Raw genomic sequence first — 21,533 nt, forward strand, 5'->3', positions numbered from 1 at the left:
TGTGAATGAGTGTGCAAAAAGGTGAGTGAATGTGCATGGAAGTGTGTGTCAACTATGAAGGCATGTAGTGTGTCAGTGTGTGCAGTGCAAGCATGTGTGGGAATGAGTGCTTGTGGGTGTGTCCATATCCAACGGGTATGTGTGAAAGCATGTAAAAGTGTGTGTAGTGTGATGGTGTGTGGATGTATCAGTGTGTATAAATGAGAGCATGTAAATGTGTATGTATGAGTGTTGAGTGAGTGTGCATATGTGAGGCTGTGTGTGTGAGTGTAACCATGAGGGTGTGAACGTGCTTAAGTGTGCATGTGACAGTGCAAGTGTAGGGGTGTGATGCATGTGTGGGTTTGCCAGTGTATGAGTGTACATGGTGTGGATCTGAATGTGCACAGTGTAAAGGGCATGAGTGCAAGTGTGTGTGAGTGTATGTGAATGAGTGGTAGTGTGCATGCATGTGTGAGTGCACGCTCAGAAGCATGGATGGGTGCAAGCCTCCCCTACTAACTCCTCCTCCTTCCTGAGATCAAAAAAGTATGTGTTTTCTGTGTTTCAAAAATGTTTTAAAATTATGTACTGTATTTAATAGCTCTTATGACTACAGTGTTTTTCTCTCTGCTTAAAGCGCAGCAGGGGCTGGGCGCAGTGGCTCACACCTGTAATCCCAGCACTTTGGGAGGCCAAGGCAAGTGGATCAGTTGAGATCAGGAGTTCAAGACCAGCCTGGACAACATGGTGAAACCCCATGTCTACTAAAAATACAAAAATTAGCCGGGCATGGTAGCGGGTGCCTGTGATCCCAGCTACTGGGGAGGCTGAGGTGGGAGAATCACTTGAACTCGGGAGGCCGAGGTTGCAGTGAACCGAGATTGCACCACTGCACTCCAGCCTGGGCGACAGAGCGAGACTCTATGCAAAAAACCCCAAAAAATCCAATGTAGCTAAAAGCAGTTTGATGATAACAGTGACACTGAAATGAGAATTGTGTCAGAAAAACCACAAACAATAATGAAATGGCTCCTATATAACCCATCCCCAAAAACCCACGTAAAGAAGAAAACAGGGCTGGGTGTAGTGGTTCATGCCTATAATTCCAGCACTTTGGGAGGCCCAGAAGGGAGGATTGCTTGAGCCTGGGAAATCGAGGCCACAGTGAGCTGTATTTGCACCACTGTACTTCAGCCTGAGAGTCAGAGTGAAACCTTGTCTCAAAAACAGAAAGACGAAAAGGGTACCTGAGGTATTAACTCTGATCATCAGTGAGTGGAAAGATTCTGGTATTCTGGTGCTTTCCATTTTCTTTTAGCTTATCTTCATTTTTGAGTTTTCTGGAAGAGCATTTATTGCTTTTTTTCTTTTTGAGACGGAGTCTCCCTCTGTCGCCCAGGCTGGAGTGCAGTGGTATGATCTTGGCTCACTGCAACCTCCACTTCCTGGGTTCAAGCGATTTTCCTGCCTCAGCCTCCTGAGTAGCTGGGACTACAGGTACATGCCACCACGCCCGGCTAATTTTTTGTATTTTTTTTAGTAGAGACAGGGTTTCACCTTGTTAGCCAGGAGGATGGTCTTGATCTCCTGACCTTGTGATCCACCTGCCTTGGCCTCCCAAAGTGCTGCGATTACAGGCGTGAGCCACCGCGCCCGGTCGCATTTATTGCTTTAAGAAAAAAAAATTTCACTTGATGGGAAGAAGCTAAAATGAGGCTGACTAGGAAAATATCATTACTAAAAACATTCTCCTTCATTCATGGACTTTTTTTTTGAGACAGTCTCGTTCTGTCGCATATGCTGGAGTGCAGTGGTACAATCTCAGCTCACTGCAACCTTCGCCTCCCAGGTTCAAATGAATTCTTGTGTCTCAGCCTCCTGAATAACTGGAATTAGAGGCATGTACCACCATGCCCGGCTAATTTTTGTATTAGGGTTTTGTCATGTTGGCCAGGCTGGTCTTGAACCCCTGACCTCAAGTGATACATCTGCCTCAGCCTCCCAGAGTGCTGGGATTACAAGTGTAAGCCACTGCGCCTGGCCCTTGTTTTGGCTAACTCTGAGGGAAACTCTTTCTGCCATGGGAGATTGTACCTTACCATTGTTTATTTCCAGGGTCTCCTGAGAACACAGACCAGAATTACTGAGGTAATCTTGGCACATTTTCTTAACCATTTTATGCGACTTTCAAATTCCTTATATGTAGCTGGGAAAAAAGGCTTTGCTAGATGATCTTTTTCAACCTTTGTGAAGATAAAGATTAAGAAAAAAGTTTAAACCTGAGGCAAGGAAAACACAGAAGAAAACCTAAACAAAGTTTCGGTTCTCAGCCCCTGAGCAGCCACTCAGTGGTGGGCGTTTCCTTCACTCCCCAGTGAGCACCTACTGTGTGTTCCGTATGGCGCAGGGCAGGGAGGAGCAGGCCAAGAAACAAACAAGCCTTGGGGTCGGGGCCACAGAGGGCACGGTGAGCTCTCAGGACACGGCGGGAAGGGAAGGCAGAAAGGTCCTGGGCACAGGCTGGGCTGTCAGCTCCAGAGGGGCGCACTGACCCTGCATCCATGGTAAGTGTGGGGCACAGGCAGTCTGGGCTGCAGCCTCAGAGCGGAGCAGAGCCCGGGGTGTAAGAGGCCGGCTGGGGCAAGTGGGCACCAGGAGAGCCCAGGCTGGCCATTATTTGTGGCTGCATTTCCATTTCCAAAAATGTATGATTTTTTTCAGTTAATGGAGAAAAAGCACTGACAAAATTCAACACGCTTTCATGATTAAAAACATTCAGCAAACTAAGAATAGAGAAAACTACCTCAACATAATAAAAGTCATATATGAAAAAGCCACATCACACTCAATGGTGAAAACTGAAAGCTTTTCCTCTAAAATTAGGAACAAGACAAGGATGTCTGCATTCATTACTTCTATGCAACACAGTGCTAGAAGTTCTAACCGGCACACTTAGGCAAGAAAAGGAAATAAAAGGCATCAAAATTGAAAAGAAAGAAGTAAAATTATCTCTATTTGCAGATAGGATCTTATAAGTAGAAATGCCTAAAGGGCGTGTGTGCACACACACACGTTAGAACTAATAAATGAGGCCAGGCATGGTGGCTTGTGCCTATAATCCCAGCACTTTGGGAGTCAGACGTGTGCAGATCACTTGAGGTCAGGAGTTCGAGACCAGCCTCACCAACATGGCAAAACCTGGCAAAACCCCATCTCTACAAAAAAATACAAAAATTAGCCAGGCATGGTGGTGGGCACCTGTGGTCCCAGCTACTTGGGAGGCTGAGGCACAAGAATCACTTGAACCCTGGAGGCAGAGGTTGCAGTGAGCCAAGATTGTGCCACTGCACTCCAGCCTGGGCGACAGAGCAAGAGAGCGAGACTCTGTCTCTTTTTTCTTTTTTAAAAAAGAATTAAAAAAAAAACCTAATAAATGAAATCAGCAATGTAGTAGCATACAAGGTAAATACACAGGCCAGGTGCGGTGGCTCACACCTGTAATCCCAGCACTTTGGGAGGCCAAGGTGAATGGATCACTTGAGGTCAAGAGTTCAAGACCAGCCTGGCCAACGTGGTGAAACCCCGTTTCTGCTAAAAATATAAAAAAATTACTGGTGGTACGTGACTGTAGTCCCAGCTACTCGGGAGGTTGAGGCAGGAGAATCACTTGAACCTGGGAGGTGGAGGTTGTAGTGAACTCAGACTGCTCCACTGTACTCCAGCCTGGGCGACAGAGTGAGACTGGAAAAAAAAAAAAAAAAGTCAATAGACAAAAATCAGCTGCATTTCTAAATACTAACAAACAATGAACAGTCTGAAAAGGAACTAAAGAAAATGAAAATTCCACTTAAAATCTAGCAATCCTACTTCTGGATATATACCCCAAAAAATTGAAAGGAGGGCCTCAAGGAGGTAATTGAACACCCGTGTTCACAGCAGCATTATTCATAATAGCTAAAAGGTGGAAGCAACCCAAGTGTCCATTGACAGATGAATGAATGAGCAAAATGTGGTATGCACAGTGAAATTTTACTCCGCCTTAAAGGACACTGAGACACTTTCTACAACATGAACCTTGAGAATACTGTGCTAGGTGAAATAAGCCAGTCACAGAAAGACAAATATTCTGTGATTCCACTTCTGTGAAGAAAGCAGCGTAGTCAAAATCATAGAGACAGAAAGTGGAATAGTGGCTGCCAGGGTTGGGGAAAAAGGGAATGGAGAGTTGGTGTTTATGGGGACAGTTTTAGTCCCCCCACTGCCCCGCTTACCCCAACTTGAAGCTCAGAGTTTTAGTTGTACAAGATGAAAAGAGTTCTGGAGATGTGTGGGGGTGATGGCCGTACAACATCGTGAATGTATTTAGTGCCCCTGAACCACACACCTACATATGGCTAAGATGGTAAATGTTATGCTATGTATATTTTACTACAATAAAATATGTTGGAAAAAAAATTTTGATGTGATAATGCAAACTTACAGCGACTCACACCTGCTTTATCGGGAGTTTCAGAAGGGGCAGGAGGGAGAGGACACGCTAAGCAGCCAGAGGCTATTGACACACCGGAAGCATCCCCAGGGACTGCCTTTCTCAACATCACCCTCTGTAATGGCAGCGTCAGCCAAGAGTGCACTGCCATTGGTTTTACTGACCAAACCTAAAGAAACGGCTGCGTTCCCATCAGATTTGCTCACTAAATCATGCCGACACACAGACATGCATCTTCCAGCCTGTTCGGCAGCAGTGCAGACAACATGAGGGGTCTCAGATCTTCCACAAGAATGATTCTGGTTCTGCCTGAGCCTTCGCCTGAGTCCCCATCAGGCATTGTAAAGGTCAACTTAAGGATGATGGGCAGGCAGAGGCAGGAATAAGGACTGATATGGTTGAATCTCTCATTGCTTTAGCACCATCCGCTTGGTGCTGCTCTCATGATAGCTGGTTGTTTAAAAGTGTGTGGCACCTGCCGGGCGCGGTGGCTCACGCCTGTCATCCCAGCACTTTGGAAGGTTGAGGTGGGTGGATCATGAGGTCAGGAGATCGAGACCATCCTGGCTAACACGATGAAACCCCGTCTCTACTAAAAATAGAAAAAATTGCCAGGCGCGGTGGCGGGCGCCTGTAGTCCCAGCTACTCGGGAGGCTGAGGCAGGAGAATGGCGTGAAACCAGGAGGCGGAGCTTGCAGTGAGCCGAGATCGCGCCACTGTACTCCAGCCTAGGCTACAGAGCGAGACTCCGTCTCCAAAAAAAAAAAGGAAAAAAAAAAGTGTGCAGCACCTACCCCGGCCCCTTGTCCCTGCTGTGGCCACGTGACATGCCTGCTCCCACTCTGCCTTCACCGTGACTGATTCTGAAGCATCCCCAGAAGCTGAGCAGATGCCAGCACCATGCTTCCCGTACAGCCTGTGGAACTGTGAGCCAACTAAACCTCTTTTCTTTATAAAATACCTGGTCTCAAGTATTTCTTTATAACAGTGTGAGAATGGCCGAAAACGACACCCAGATGCAAACATTACCCAGGCCACCGCGTGCTGACTCTCTCACCAAGCAGGAGCGGGCCCCTCCCTCACGCGGAGCCGCTGGCACGGACAGCCCCGGGAAGGTCAGGCTGAGCGTCCTTTCCTCTGTGCACCCACGGAGGGTGCTCCCATTGGCTTTCTCAGATAGCACCATCTCAGGGTCCAGCTGGCCATGGCCTGGATTAAGTTTAAAATGCTGGGCCAGTCCCCACTTCCCTATATATGACTTTTTACAAGTCTGACACTTGAAGCTTTTGGGCCTCAGGGAGCAGCTTGATAAGTCAAAGAGCGCCTGCCTCTCCCTCTGATGTTCTTCCACACTGAGTTCTGAATCATCATCAGAATCTGGCAGATGACCGTCGGCCAAATCATCCCTTTTTATGAACTCAGCTTTAGCTGTATACTTGGCAGGTCGAGATACCTGTCTCAACGTGTCTTCACTTTTAACGATGGTTTTAGTTTCTCAGTATGTTTTGTATGCAAGTTGGAAATAAATAAACGTCCTGAACTGGATGAAACATGTTACAGTCGGCGAACTGGAGGCCAACGAAGGGGTCAACATGGTGCCCTGTCCATTTGGAGCCTTGGGAGCTGGGACTCTCTTTGCAGGGACCACCTAGAGGGCTGGCAGTGGTCTCTGTACAAACCCCTGAGCAGGAGGCTGATGTAGGAAACATGACTGTGGCTCGGTTCTCACGAGGGGCTGTACCCTGAGCAGCTGGGGGCTGGTGACGTGGAGTCCCACCAGGCGGGAATTCCCCCGGGGCGGCTGGCTCTGTCTTGCAGATTGGGGCTGGACTGTGGCCAGTAGGGACGTTGGCCGTTCCTGACCTTTTGTTTCTCCAGACGTTACCTTGACACAAATGGCTTCTAGTTGCTTTCCTACAGAAAGACAAGAAAGGGAAAAGAAGCATTGTGCTTATCAACATGTCTGCAATTCTGCTCTCATAGTAAATCCACTACTGACATTTTTTCTAAATTACGTCTTACATATACAATTTATGTAACGTGTTTGTATTAACTGTTTTTCAGACCTTTCTGACCAGAAACCACAGTGATACAGGCCGGGCGCAGTGGCTCACACCTGTAATCCCAGCACTTCGGGAGGCCAAGGTGGGCAGATCACTTGAGGTCAGGAGTTCAAGACCAGCCAGGCCAACATGGTGAAACCCCTTCTCTACTAAGGATACAAAAATTAGCAGGGTGTGGTGGTGCACACCTGTAATCCCAGCTACTTTGGAGGCTGAGGCATGAGAATCGCTTGAACCTGGGAGGACGAGGTTGCAGTGAGCCAAGATCGCGCCACTGCACTCCAGCCTGGGTGACAGAGCGAGACTCCATCTCAAAAAACAAACAAAATGGCCGGGCACGGTGGCTCACGCCTGTAATCCCAGCACTGTGGGAGGCTGAATCACTTGAGGCCAGGAGTTCCAGACCAGCTTGGTCAACATGGTGAAACCCCATCTATACTAAAAATACAAAAGTTAGCCGGGTGTGGTGGCACATTCCTGTACTCCCAGCTACTTGGGAGGCTGAGGCAGGAGAATTGTTTGAGCCTGGGAGGCGGAGAGGCTGCAGTGAGCCGAGATCCTGCCACTGCACTCCAGCCTGGGTGACAGAGCTAGACTCAGTCTCAAAAACAAACAAAAAACAAAAACAGACCACAGTGACACATTTTACATTATGACCTAGTATGCACGTATATAAATATTTGCATACATAAATGAAAAGCTGATGGAACTACTTAGCATTCCTATGTAAATGCCTGCTGATTGTATCTATTCTTCATTTCTACATCACCTTTTTTTTTTTTTTTTTTTTTTTTTTTGGAGACGGTCTCACTCTGTTGCCCAGGCTGGAGTGCAGTGGCGCGATCTTAGCTCATGGCAACCTCCGCCTCCCAGGTTCGAGTGATTCTCCTGCTTCTGCCTCCTGTATAGCTGGGATTACAGGCACACGCCACCATGCCTGGCTAATTTTTGTATTTTCTGTAGAGACGGGGTTTCACCATGTTGGACAGGCTGGTGTCAAACTCCTGAACTCAAGTGACCCGCCCGCCTCGACCTCCCAAAGTGCTGGGATTACAGGTGTGAGCTACCGCACTGACCCTAATCTACATCACTTTAAAAAAAATACTAGTCATAATCCACTAAGTTGATTTCATGATGAATTAAGAGATAATAAGAGCCTTCTCAACAGTTTCACCCATGTGTTTTTGCTTGGAGTTTTTAGTACTCTAAAATCAGATGTAATTCATAATGTGGGACCATGTTTTTAAAAAAGTTTCTAATGAAATTCTAGAAGCCACAAAAAAGCCATAAAGGACAATGTTACCCAGGATCCTCCTGCCCAACCTGCATGCCCGTTTCTTCACCCTGTCCTGAATGTGCTGTTCAGCATTCTTATGCTTTTTAAATATTTACATGGCATATGCAGATATTTCTAAAAACATACAGTTCAGTTCTGAAATGCTTTAAAACTTTATAGAAATGATATCATCTCCTGCAACTTGATAGGGCTTTTTTCAGGTTTCTTTACTCCATTTTGCTTTGTGAATTTTACCCTCATTGACATGTGTAGCTCTCAGGGGTTGATTTTCTCTGCAGTATGAGTTTACCAATCTCCTATTGATGGATGGGTACTTTCCAACCTTCTGCTCTAAGGTCTGCTCTGAATCTCCACGGATGTATGTGTGTACATGTGTGAGTTTCTCCAGGGGCATGTATCTAGGAGTAGGGCTGAATATCTTTTTCTTTTTTTTTTTTTTTTTTGAGAGAAGGTCTTGCTCTGTTGTCCAGGCTGGAGTGCAATGGCATGATCTCAGCTCACTGCAACCTGCGCTTCCCAGGTACAAGTGATTCTCCTGCCTCAGCCTCCCGGGTAGCTGGGATTACAGACACGTGCTACTACGCCTGGTTAATTTTTGTATTTTTAGTAGAGATAGGGTTTCACCATGTTGTCCAGGCTGGTCTCAAACTCCTGACCTCAAGTGATCTGCCCCACTCAGCCTCTCGAAGTGCTGGAATTACAGGCGTGAGCCACCGTGCCCGGCCGGGCTGAATATCCTCAACAACTTTTTACAAATATATCTAACAAAATTTCAAATACATGTGCTTTTTGACCCAGTAATTCTACTTCCTGGATTCCAAAATTAAAAAAACTTAGATGGCCATAAAGATGTTATGTTCTATGAGGTTCAAGGCAGCACTGTCTGTAATAGCAAAACACCTACCAAAGGGGAGAGCTACCTTCGACAACATCCCACAAATATTTATTGAGTACTGACCATGTGCATGAGACACTGCTACAGGTGTCAGAGAAACAGTTCTCATACAGCTTAGGGGAGAAGGTCAGGAAGCAAAAGAAACAAGGCTCCTGCCCTCACAGAGCAGAAATAATGAGCATTTTCCTCCAGGGAGAAAAAGAGGCAAACCTCGTCATCCAGAGCATGATTTCACAACCAACATTTCAGAACATAATCCTTTGACATGGGTGGCTGGAGGATGCCCAGCAGCATCTCTGCCTCTACCCACTAGATGCTAGTAGTGATCCCGAGTCCTGACAAGATATTGCCAAGTGCCCCTTGTGGGGCAAAACTGTCCTCGGTTGAGAACCACTTATTTGGGACCACCAACTGGCCCTCTTTGGACTCAACCTTCTGGTGTGACCCTCAAACAGTAGAAAGTCAATAAAAATGTCAAACAGGACAGAATAAAGACCCTCACTGAGATCAGGCTGGAGTGTGTCTCTCGTCTGGCTCTTGTTATACACTAGTACAAATAACAGAGGTCAAGTGTACCGAGGTGGCACCACAACCCTGGGAGTCCCCATTCCTGGGCTACGTGCAAATCAAATGACAACTAGATTGGCTGTGCATATCCTTCAAGAACGATGTCTGTTTCATTTTACTACCAATCACACAGAATCTCTCTCTAAGGGCCAAACACAAATCACACCTGCAGTAGCAGTGCTTTGGGATGCTGAGGTGGGAGGATTGCTTGAGGCCAGGAGTTCAGGGCCAGCCTGGGCAACAGAGCAAGACCCTGTCCCTACAAAATGTTAAAAAAAAACACAAAAACCCAAAACAAAGAGTCTCACTGTTGCCTAGGCTGGACTGCAGTGGTGCATTCTTGGCTCCCTGAAACCTCTGCCTCCCGAGTTCAAGCGATTTTCCTGACTTGGCCTCGCTAGTAGCTAGGATTGCAGGCATGCGCCACCGTGACTGGCTAATTTTTGTATTTTTAGTAGAGACGGGGTTTCATCACATTGGCCAGACTGGCCTCAAACTCCTGATCTCAGGTGATCCACCCGCCGCCGCCTCCCAAAGTGCTGGGATTCCAGGGGTGAGCCACCGAGCCCCGCCTACAAAACATTTTAAAATTAGGCTTGATGGTACATGCCTGTAGCCCCAGATACTCGGGAGGCTGAGGGGGAAGGATCGTTTGAGTCTGGGAGTTTGAGGCTGTAGTGAGCCGTGATCAGTCCAGCCTGGGTGAGAATGCAACACCTTGTCTCAACAAAACCCCAAAACAACAACAAAATACATATACACACAGACACACAACCTAAACCCTATTGTTTTAGGATAACCACAGCAGCAAAGCCGGCCTAATAATGTATTCATCCTCTATCCTGACTGGCTTACCCCGTGGGTATTACGCCTCATGCTTTCTTGTGTGTTTTTATTTTGTTTGGTGAACATTTACTAAATATTTCTGGATGGAATACATACACACTAGCCAACTCCTAGCCTCACCCTTGAGATGGTGGGCAGTTTCCCTGCCATGCCTCAGTCCCCGCAGACCTGCTGAATCGATCTCCTGGGTCGGAGACCCGATCTGCCCTTTCAAAAGCTCCGCTGACGATTTCGAAGGCAGACAAGTTTCCCTAAGGAATGCAGACAGGTGAGGCAGACGGGAAAAATGTCATCATGGTACAACAGGTGCAATAAAGAGGCAGAACAGACCAGAAGCAGTGATCTCTGAGGGGCGTTTTGAAGGCTGGGAATTTTTGCCAGGTAGGGCATTCTGAGTACAAAGAAAAATGTGTACATGCATGGATGCATGAAAAGGGGTTGGCATGTTGGATGGAACTGGACATTTCTGGGGGGTGGGAAGAGGGAAGATGCGGAGAGACAGGGGCCTCCATCTGACCCAAGTGTGTCCACTGGTCTGTGCTTCTGATCCACACCATCCCCCACAGCGAACCACTGGGCAGTCTGCTGTGGTTGTTGAAATGCACCCCGCCACCTGCTCCAGAACCTGCCTCTCCTCTTCTGCATTTTCAACTCAGACTCACCCTTTCAAATCTAGTTCAGATACCACTTCTTCAACAAAGCTGCTTGTGATTTCCTCGGCCAGAAACAATCTCCCTTTCTCTAACTACATTTAGTTCTTCATCACTAGCTTTCAGGCCTTGATTAGCAGGTATCTGGGTCATGTTTTATCTCCTGTTAGTTCATCAGCTACTGAGGGGCAAAGTACACATCCGGTTTGACTTCGTGGCTTCCACGACACAGCTGGGGCTGAAAAAGTATTAGCAGAATGTGCTACAAAGGTACATTATTGGAGGTAGAATTTATACGTCTCCATCAGATTAGCTACAGAATAAGTCCCATCATGCTGCCTGATCTTGACTAAGTTTGCTTTTACTTTATGAAAAGTATGTCATTTTTTACTCCATTCCAAACCCAAAAAGCTGTGGCCACATACAGCAGGGTGTGCTGGGGAGAACAAGGGCTCTGGAGAGCAGCCACACCTGAGGGATCTTGGACAAAGCCACTCAACCTCCCTGCAAAATGCTGGTACAAAAACACTACTGCGAGCTAAGCAACCCAGAACACTGCCCGGCACAGAGCAGAGGCTCAGCAGATGGCTGTCCCGGGATGGCGTCTTGCAGCCTTCGGACCCAGACCACAGTCCAAAAAGGTCGAGTTGCCCAAGGTCACACCTCTAGATAGTGTGGCATTTGGGCAGAATCATACTTGCCTTCCTAAACCTTAGCAAGACAACTCTCCACTCTTGATGATGAACTGGATACAACAACCCCAGGCAGCTAAAATCACGAGTGAAGTCGAAAAAACTCAGGAGTGAAGATCGCTGATTCTATTCTCTAACGCATCTCTTCTAGTGGAAAAAGCCCTCTTCTTTTGGCAATTTTGGGTTAAGACTAATTTTATTTACAGCGCCAGCAATGAAATGAGATGGAATTTTACAGACGCCGTGTAGGACCCCTGGAAGGACAATGAGAGTACCCACCCCAAAAGCATAGTATCTGTATGCAAAAACAGTGACAGAGACAGAGAGAGAGAGAGAAAGAAAATGCTGAGAAGCAGCAATGAAGAGAAGAAAATGCTGGGCCGTGGCACTTGCTGTGCCTGAGACCTGAAAAGCTCAGTTGGTTCCTTTTAATTCATTCAGGTCTCAGGGGCAGCGTCTGGCCTACGGGCCCACCCACTCTAAAGCGGCCCCCTGTCCCTCCCAGAACCTGCCTGATGTTCGTTCTTCGAGTGTGTTGAAGGCCGCACCTCCTGCACTTAGGTGGGAGTGCGGGCAACCCCGTCTCTGAGTGCCCCACAGAGGCTGAACGAGTGGTCAAAGGCGTGTCAGACGAGCTAGGCAGCACAGGGGAGCCCCGGGCAGGGCTGTGGAGGCAGAGAGGGCACGACGGCGTCCCAGGCAGAGGGCCCAGCGTGAGCATCGGCTCCTCAAGTGAGGCTCCTGGGGTGAAAACGCCAGGGTGGTGGCAGGTGGGGGCCGAACGCCGTCCCTAAGGGGCTCAGCTTCGGGACACCCTGAGTCTTGACTGGGGCCGGATACTGGCCACCCCGGCCAAGCAGCTAACCCCGCCGCGGGGCCTCGGCCCCCTCCGGGCCTCAGTTTCCCCACGTCGCTCCCGGAGCCTCACCTGGGGCGGCAGCAGGCGTGGCGGGCACGGGGGCTCGGCGCCAGGGTCCCGCTGGAGGGCGGCCTGATGGGCCGCGGCGGCAGCAGCTGCGCCTTCGTCACCCGCTTCAGGACCTGCCGCAGCTGCTCGGGGCCCAGCGGGGCCACACGTGCAACGCTGCCCTGGCCCGGAGAAGCCTGGCCGCCGCATCCGCCGCGGCGGCTGAAGCGGGGACTCCAACCTGGGTCGCTGGGCGACGACGTGCCTCACCTGGGAAAGCGGCGGGCTACGAGTGCCCCGCAGGCCAAGACACCTCGGAAGGCGACGCTGCCCGGCCGGGACAGCCGCCGCGGCCCCTAGGGCCGATCAGCACAGCGGACCCACCTTATTTTCTCATTGCCTGTCACGGATGTGTTTAACACTCAGATGTCACCTCCTCCGGGAGCTGTCCCCGATCTCCCAGGCGGAGGTCTTTGAGGTTCCAAAGCCCCTGACCCAAAAGTTATCACATTCTTTGAGGTTCCAAAGCCCCTGGCCCACAAGTTATCACGTTATCCACGTGTTCTGACGTCATCGTGCACCCCAATCAGCGGAGGATCCTGCCTGGATACGCGGAGTCCTAGGTCCACCAGCAAACGTTTAGGTTTATAAATCTGAGAGGGGACCCAAAGTTTGAATTTTTAACAAGAGCGCTTCCCAACCCCCAAACTGTTCCCATGTCACCCTACCGTCTCTCCCCTCACCCACCCAGGCTGCGTGTACCTTGAAGGGAGAGACGATATGTTACTCATTCGGTGCCCATTACAGGCCCTGCCCAGAACGCACGCTCAAGGCGTGAAAGATGGATGGATGCATAGAAACCAATAAATGAACGGGTGAACAAATCCACGAACCCACCCTCTCCACATGTCCGTCCCATCCATCCAGCCCCAGTGCCCCGTCTTCCTCAGCCCGATCGCCTCTCTTACAGGGTCGAGGCTCTGTGCACCCTCCCCACCGAGTCTTGTAGCTGCAGGTGTGTACACACGTCCCAGTCCCAGTCCCAGTCCCAGTCCCTCTCCCCAGGGAGCGTAGGAGGTCCACTGGCCAACAAACACTTATTAAGCGCCTGGTAGGTGAGTCGCCATTCCCTCCCTGTGGGGTACCACGGGTCTAGCTGGCGAGAAGGAGGAAACCAGCATTTGCAGTACAGTATGATGAGCACCATGAAGCCAGGAAAGGTAAGGCTGGGGGGGGGGGGGGGCGCCAGGCTGGTGTCAGAGAAGGTTCTGGAACATCACCATCATCCTCATCAATACTTCGCATTCACGATGCTCCCTGCTATTTTTTAATGGTGAATTTCATATGATGGGTATCTTACCACATTTTTTTTTGTTTGTTTGTTTTTAGACAGGGTCTCACTCTGTTGCCCAGGCTGGAGTGCAGTGGCGCCATCTCAGCTCGCTACAACCTCGACTTCCCGGGCTCAGGTGATCCTTCCACCTCAGCCTCTGGAGTAGCTCGGACTACAGGCATGCGCTACCATGCCCAGCTAATTTTCGTTTCTTTTTTTTTTTTTTTTTTTTAATAGAGAGAGGATCTCACCATGTTGCCCGGGCTGGTCTCCAACTCCTGGGCTCAGATGATCCACTTGCCTAGGCCTCCCAAAGTGCTGGAATTACAGGCGTGAACCACTGCGCCTGGCCCAAGTCAATCTTTCCTAGTTCCTTCCCAAGAAGGGATTTATGACAACTGAGTTCTTTTGAGATCTTTTGGGAAGCTCTGCTTTTCAGCAGACAAGAAATTTCAGGAATTCAAATGCCTTCTGCTCAAAATAATTTTCACGCCACCGTGGCACATTCTAAACCCCTTCAAGTTCAGGAAACTTGAGGGCAGCAGCCTCCACCGACTCCTCCGTGCTCTGTCCCTGCATCTAACCCGGCACGACTACTGCAAGATGTGACATCCAACTTGTTGCGTACAGGTTTCTATTGCAGGTGTCAGCCGACCCAGGCTCTCCTAACGTTGCTTATAGTAGCAGCAGCGCCACCAGCCGGCGTTTATTGAGAACTTTCACTACACCCTGGGCACTTACCAAGGTTTTAAGCCAGTAGTCTGTAGATTTTGAGCAGCTACTGATTTAGGTCAGAGTTAGTAGATGTTTCCACTGGAGAGTTTTCAAAAGCAGGTGGAGCCCCTGCTGGATCGTGACAGAAAATGGCACTGACCCTACACAACTGGCTTCGTTCAACGGAGCACACCTGACCACCCCAGAAACTTGAACCACCAGCGAGAAACTCATCCACTTGCTCTGGCTGCAAAATGCAGAACCAAGAGGAAGAAATGTGAAGCCTAAGATGTCTCTGAAAAGAAACGGGGGGTGGGGGGGAAGAGCAAGAGAAGGTTTCCAGAGGCTTCCACAACCAGAACGCCTCTCTAAAAACATGGCAGGCATCTACTGGCTGGTCACTTTCTCCACGTGGCTTGGGATTTGTGTCTCACTTACCGTTTTGCTCCCCGCCTAGAACGGTGCTGGGCATGCAGTAGCCCTACACACCATCTGTGGAATGCATTCATTGCAGACCTGGATTTTCAACCCTAAGACTTCCCCGCAAGGCGGCCAAGGGAACACGAGGCGGTGACATCTGGGAGCACCCGTCTTCACTGGGCGATTCCTCCAGGGGAGCCACAGCCTCAGGAAGCGCGGGGGCGGCAGGGGTGGGGGCTGAGGGCCGGAGATGTGGATCGCTTTGGATATCCTGAGTGGCCTGCAGGTGGCGGAGGGTGCAGGGACTCGGGTGCGGAGCCACCGCCCCAGCGCATGCCTGGTACCTCCCGCTCTCCCCAGCAGGCTGCCCTCGACAACCTCTGGGCGGGGAGACCAAGAGATCCTGCAGTTCGCTCCTACCCGCACGCCGCTCACAGTACCCGAAAGGCGCATTTTTCACAAACTGTTGTAGAAAGAGTTCATGGCGGGGTGGCGGCGGGGAAAAAAAAAAAAAAAAGCTAACGCCGTGGCCGGTGCGGGAGTCGAGCCCGCGACCTTGGTGTTATCAGCACCACGCTCTTACCAACTGAGCTAACCGGCCGCCCGACGGCACAGTGCCCCTGGAGCGTATAAAAGGGCTCCACGTTCGCGCCCGTCCACGAGCGATTCCTCGCCAAGCCCGCGCGCCTCTGGCTGCCTTCCGCTTTGCCCCAGCCGCGGGGACTCCGGGGAGGAGCCACCGCCCCAGCGCTGGCCGGGTTTCTCCCGCTCCTCCCTGCCAGGCTGTCCTCGACAACCTCTGGGCCGAGTCCAAGAGATCCCGCAAGTCGCTCCTGCCCGCATGGGGCTTACAGAACCTGAAAGGCGCATTTTGAAAAAGAGTTGCAGAAACAGTTCATGGGGAGAAAACAAAGAAACAAACCAACAAAAAACTGGGACTAGGGCCGGTGCGGGGATCAAGCCCGCGACCATGGCGGTATCAGCACCACGCGCTCACCAACTGAGATAACCGACCGCCCGACCATCTAGTGCTGCCCGAGCGTCTGAAAGGGCTCCGTGTTCGCGCCGGCCCGCGACTGATTTCCTTGCAGAGCCCGCGCCACTGGCTGCCTCCCCGCTTGGCCCCAGCTGCGACTTCTGACCGCCTCACTGTCATCCCCATTGGGTGGATGCAGAAACTGAGACCTAGGAGACTTCAAGGAGAAGGGAGGCGGCTTCCTACAGGGAACCGCAGGCTTCCACAGGGAAAATGCAAATTGCACATGGGAGGCTTGGCTCTGCAGTGAGGTTTTCAAACATTCCCATTCAATGCTGGTTTTAACTCTGAGAATCCTGAGGCCTGGCAACTTCGTGTATCAAGAGCCTTTCAGCATGGTTAAATCTAGCTCAGAAAACCCAGAAAACCAAAGGCCAAAAGAACCACCGAATTCCCTATTGCCCAAAAAATAACGGCTGCAGGGGTCTCGACTTCCTTCTTGTCCATTTTTATTTCCTTTCACTGTACACATGTATTTCTATATATATACACGGAATCCTTGCGCCAGGAGTGGTGGCTCTTGCCTTTAATCCCAGCACTCCGGGATGAATAAATAAATGAATGGAATGGAAAGCCTTGCTTGAAAAAGTGTATTCTGTCTTCCTTTTTGCATTTAATAGTCTGTCATTAAGTATATCCCGAAATAATTGCAAATGTCATTTTCAATGATTCATTCAAAAAAAAGAAAAGAAAAAAAATGAGACGGGGAAAGACAGAAATAGAGAAACAGAAAATGATATTGTTTGGCCATGTCCCCACTGAAATCTCAACTTGAATTTTATCTCCCAGAATTCCCTCGTGGTGTGAGAGGGACCCAGGGGAAGTACCTGAATCATGGTGGCCGGTCTTTCCTGTGCTATTCTGGTGATAGTGAATAAGTCTCATGAGATCTAATGGGTTTATCAGGGTTTCTGCTTTTGCTTCCTCCTCATTTTCTCTTGCTGCCACCATGGAAGAAGTGCCTTTCGCCCTCCGCCATAATTACGAGACTTCCTCAGCCTGTGGAACTGTCAGTCAAATTAAAGCTCCTTTTCTTCCCAGTCTTGGGTATGTCTGTATCAGTGGCATAAAAACAGACTAATATAGTAAATTGGTACCGGGAGTGGGGTATTGCTGAAAAGATACCCAACAATGTCACAGCGACTTTGGAATTGGGTAATAGGCAGAGGTTGGAACAGTTTGGAGGGCTTAGAATAAGGCAGGAAAATGTGGGAATGTTTGCAACTTCCTAGAGACTTGTTGAATGGCTTTAGCCAAAACGCTGATAGCGATTATGACAATAAGGTCCAGGCTGAGGTGGTCTCAGATAGACATGAGCAACTTCTTGGGAACTGGAGCAAAGGTGACTCTTATTATGTTTTAGCAAAGAGACTGGTGGCATTTTGCCTCTGCCCGAGAGATTTGTGGAACTTTGAACTTGAGAGAGATGACTTAGAATATCTAGCGGAAGAAATTTCTAAGCAGCAAATCATTCAAAATGTGACTTGGGTGCTGTTGAAAGCATTCTGTTTTAAAAGGGATACAGAGCATAAAAGTTTGAAAATCTGCAGCCTGATGATCCAGTAGAAAAGAAAAATCCATTTTTGGGGGGAGAAATTCAAGCCAGCTGCAGAAATTTGCATAAGTAGGAAGGAGTCTAATGTCTCCAGGCCATGTCACAGACCTTCACAGCAGCCCCTCCCATCACAGGCCCAGGAGAAAAAAGTGGTTTTGTGGGCTGGGCCCAGGGTCTCTGTGCTGTGTGCAGCCTAGGGACTTGGTACCCTGGGTTCCAGCTGCTCCATCTGTGACTGAAAGGAGCCAACGTAGAGCTCAGGCTGTGGCTTCAGAGGATGGAAGCCCCAAGCCTGGGCAGCTTCCATGTGGTGTTGAGCCTGCAGATGCACAGAAGTCAAGAATTGAGGTTTGAGCACCTCCGCCTAGATTTCAGAAGATGTATGGAAATGCCTGGATGTCCAGGCAAAAGTCTGTGGCAGGGGTGAGGCCCTCATGGAGAACCTCTGCTAGGGCAGTGCAGAAGGGAAATGTGGGGTTGGAGCCCCCACACAGAGTCCCTACTGGGGCACTGCCTAGTAGAGCTGTGAGAAGAGAGCTACTGTCGTCCAAACCCCAGAAAGGTAGATCCACCAACAGCATGCACCATAGGCCTGGAAACACAACAGACACTCAACGTCAGCCTGTGAAAGCAGCAGGGAGGGATGTTGTACCCTGCAAAGCCACAGGCACAGAGCTGCCCAAGACCATAGGAATCCACCTCTTGCACCTGATGTGAGACCTGTAGTCAAAGGAGATCATTTTGGAGCTTTAAGATCTGACTGCCCCACTGGATTTTGGACTTGCACGGGCCCTATAACCCCTTTGTTTTGGCCTATTTCTCCCATTTGGAATGGCTGTATTTACCCAATACCTGTATCCCCATTGTATCTAAGAAGTAACTAGCTTGCTTTTGATTTTACAGGCTCATAGGTGGAAGGGACTTGCCTTGTCTGACTGTGGACATTTGGGTTAATGCTGAAATGAGTTAAGACTTTGGGGGGACTGTTGGGAAGGTACAGTTAGTTTTGAAATGTGAGGACATGAGATTTGGAGGGGCCGGGGTGGAATTATACGGTTTGACTGTGTCCCCACTGAAATGTCAACTTGAATTGTATCTCCCAGAATACCCACGTGTTGTGGGAGGGACTCAGGGGGAGGTAACTGCAATCATAGGGGCGGGTCTTTCCCGTGCTATTCTCATGATAGTGAATAAGTCTCACGAGATCTGATGGGTTTTCAGGGGTTTCTGCTGTTGCTTCCTCCTCATTCTCTCTTGCTGCCGTCATGTAAGAAGTACCTTTTGCCCTCTGCCATGATTATGGGACTTACCCAGCCATGTGGAACTGTAAGTCAAATTAAACCTCCTGGCCAGGCATGGTGGCTTACACCTGTAATCTCAACACTTTGGGAGGGTGAGGTGGGTGGATCACCTGAGGTCAGGAGTTCCAGACCAGCCTGGCCAACATGGTGAAGCCCCGTCTCTACTAACAGTACAAAAATTAGCCAGGAGTTGGGGCACGCACCTGTAATCCCAGCTACTCAGGAGGCTGAGGCAGGAGAATTACTTCAACCCGGGAGGCAGAGGTTGCAGTGAGCCTAGATCGCGCCACTGCACTTCAGCCTGGGCGACAGGAGCAAGACTCCGTCTCAGAAAAAAAAGAAATTCAACCTCCTTTTCTTCTAAGTCTAGGGTATGTCTTTATCAGCAGCGTAAAAACGACTAATACAGAGAGTAATGCATAAAGACACAGAAAGAGGGAGAGAGACAAAAAGAGAAAGAGAGAGAGAGAGAGAGAGAATGTAATAGGAGAAAGGGAGGGACAGGAGAAAAAGAGAGGGCCCTCTTCCCACTATCCTTCCAAAATCAGGGTTTCCTCATGACCCCTTCCTCAAGGCCTAGGTGCCAAAAAGGTCACTGAAGGAAGCACAGTCCCCTCTTCCTCAGCAGGCCTGAAGGCTCCTGGGCTATGGCTGCTGGTCTTCCTAAGCCAGAAGCTATAACCCTGAGCCATTGGGCTTCCCAGCCTAGCTTCCTCCTGTCCAAAATGAGAGGACAAACAGGAGTTAGAGAGCCTGAGAAGACCTGTCCCAGCAACACACCCCCCTAAGAAGGCACAGGCTGACCACTGACAACTGTTTAAATCCAGCGCCCACGTTCGGCTGGGATATTCTGACCCACTCAGGGCTGCCCCATAAACCAGCGCGTGGTCCGGATCCAAGCGCACCGAGAACTCGAAACCTCTCTGTCAAGCTGCCCATTGGGAGTTAAGTTCAAAGAGGACAAAGGAAACGAGATAAAGCGTCCAATACAAGAATTACCCATTTCAGACGCACAAGACGAAGAGCACAGGCGGTGTCAGGACATGTTAGGATCCGTCCCCAACTCCGCCGTCTTCATCCCCACAAAGCCACGGAACACCTGTACCCCGGAGCCCAGCTGCTCCTGCAGCCCCTGGAGAAATCTGTACATTCCCCGCCGAGGACCCTGCCGCTGGGCACACTGGGAGGCTGGCCTGAGGGACCCCGCGCCCGTGTCCCTGGGGCCGCTGCCTGGGAGAGCGCACGATTTACCCCAGGCGAGGTGACCCACAGGAAGTTTGGTGACGTCGGATGGCCCAGGCCCCAGAGTGCTGTGTGTGCTGGGGGTGGAGGGTGGTCCCCGACAGGAGCCGTCGGCGTTCCAGGGAAGGCACCCGGTCGGTCGGGGGACTCGCCGGGGCTGGGGGGTGCGCTCTACTTCTCCGAGCGCCCCCCAGGGAGACCCAGGGCGCAGGGGCAGCCCCGCGCTGGGATCCCGAGCCGCAGCGGCGGGGCAGGGCCCTCCCCAGGAGGCGGGCACCCGGGGCCCTTTGTCCTACGACAGCGTCCCGGCCGCGCCGCGCGCCCCTGTGGGCCGAGTCCCCGCGCGCACTCACTCACCCACGGTGACCAGCGTGTCGAAGTCTTGAAGGCGGTTGGCAGGCGGCTCCGGCGACCGCGACTCGGGGCTGGGGCAGAGCTCGGGCGCCCAGTCCGGGGTCTCCTCTGCCACGGCCGCCTGGGCCAGCCCGGGCGCCTTCATGGGGACGCACTCAGGTCCGGGGCGCCGGGCCGGGCCGGAGCGCTCGGGGAGCCGGGCTTCCGCGGATGCAGCCTCGGAGGGCGGCGCGGCGGCATCAACGGAGGCTCCCCATGCGCGCCATGCGGCTTGTGGAGGCCATCCTGCCCACCCGGCCCGGAGCCCGCAAGACGCCAATGCGCCTTCCGGTGCGCGCGCGGCCGGGCGCGGCTGACGGAGCGGCGGGGACAATGGCTGGCCGTCGCTCACGGCACAAGCAGCAACGGCCCCAGGTAGCAGCAGCCGCCGGCCTCGTGGGGCGGGCACGGAGCGCCGGGAGGCGGCGGGGAAGGCGGGGGCCGCGGCCCGGGCTTGTAGAGCCAGGCGGGGGCCCTGCGCATTCCCAGTCTCGCGCCCGCGGCCTCCTGCAGCTCGGTAGCAGCGTGCGCGTTGAAGAGGCGGGCGGAAGCCGCCTGGGCGAGGCCTAGGGGCTGGGGGCGTCGCCTTCGCACGCGCTCCGCCCCTGCCGCGACCCAGCCCAGGAGCCAGAGACCTGGGCGTGCCCCGCCACCGTGGGCAGGCGCGGCCCTGGGGAGGTGCTCACGCCCCCTCCGCGCCCGAGGCGCCCCTCGGGTGGCACCCAGGACGACCTCTCACCGCGACCTACCGCCCCGACCCTCTTAGGCGCAGAGGCGCACAGGTCCAGACCCGGCTACTCAGGAGGGAGGAAACATTTTACAACCTGTTCTCTCTTGTCTTTGAAGCCTGCTAGCTAAAAGCTTCATCTGCATAGTAAAACTTTGGTCTCCACCACCTCTTATCACAACCCAGACATTCCCTTCTGTGATCTCAGGTCTTCAGATAAACTCAACCAGCTGTCAACCAGAAAATGTTTAAATTCACCCACAGCCTGGAACCCCCTTTCCTCCACCCCCTCGCCCCCACCCACCACTTCTACTTGTCTCTTTTCTGGACCAAACCAATGTATTTCTCAAATGTATTTGATTGCTGTCTCATGCCTTCCTAAAATGTATAAAACCAAACTGCACCCCAACCACCTTGGGCACA

General features: G+C 51.1%; 1 non-coding gene and 1 pseudogene across 3 annotated transcripts in view; both read right to left on the reverse strand.

The window, feature by feature from the left end:
* The window catches only part of FAM239B (family with sequence similarity 239 member B), a 35,468-nt pseudogene extending 14,572 nt beyond the window's left edge, over positions 1 to 20,896 (reverse strand). Inside the window, exons 1-4 of one of the 2 annotated variants that reach the window (NR_146578.1) lie at positions 20,348 to 20,896; positions 5,502 to 6,386; positions 3,595 to 3,723; positions 2,082 to 2,225 (exon numbers count right to left, since the gene is read on the reverse strand). The product of NR_146578.1 is annotated as a family with sequence similarity 239 member B, transcript variant 1 (transcript). The remainder of the gene's footprint in view (positions 1 to 2,081; positions 2,226 to 3,594; positions 3,724 to 5,501; positions 6,387 to 20,347) is intronic. The other variant, NR_146579.1, reaches the window with a different exon arrangement.
* Positions 15,384 to 15,457, reverse strand: TRI-GAT1-3 (tRNA-Ile (anticodon GAT) 1-3). Its single transcript has one exon. It is a non-coding gene; the product is annotated as a tRNA-Ile (tRNA).
* Positions 20,897 to 21,533: the final 637 nt, after the last annotated feature.

Source organism: Homo sapiens, chromosome X (assembly GCF_000001405.40).
Source record: "Homo sapiens chromosome X, GRCh38.p14 Primary Assembly".
Lineage (NCBI taxonomy): Eukaryota > Metazoa > Chordata > Mammalia > Primates > Hominidae > Homo > Homo sapiens.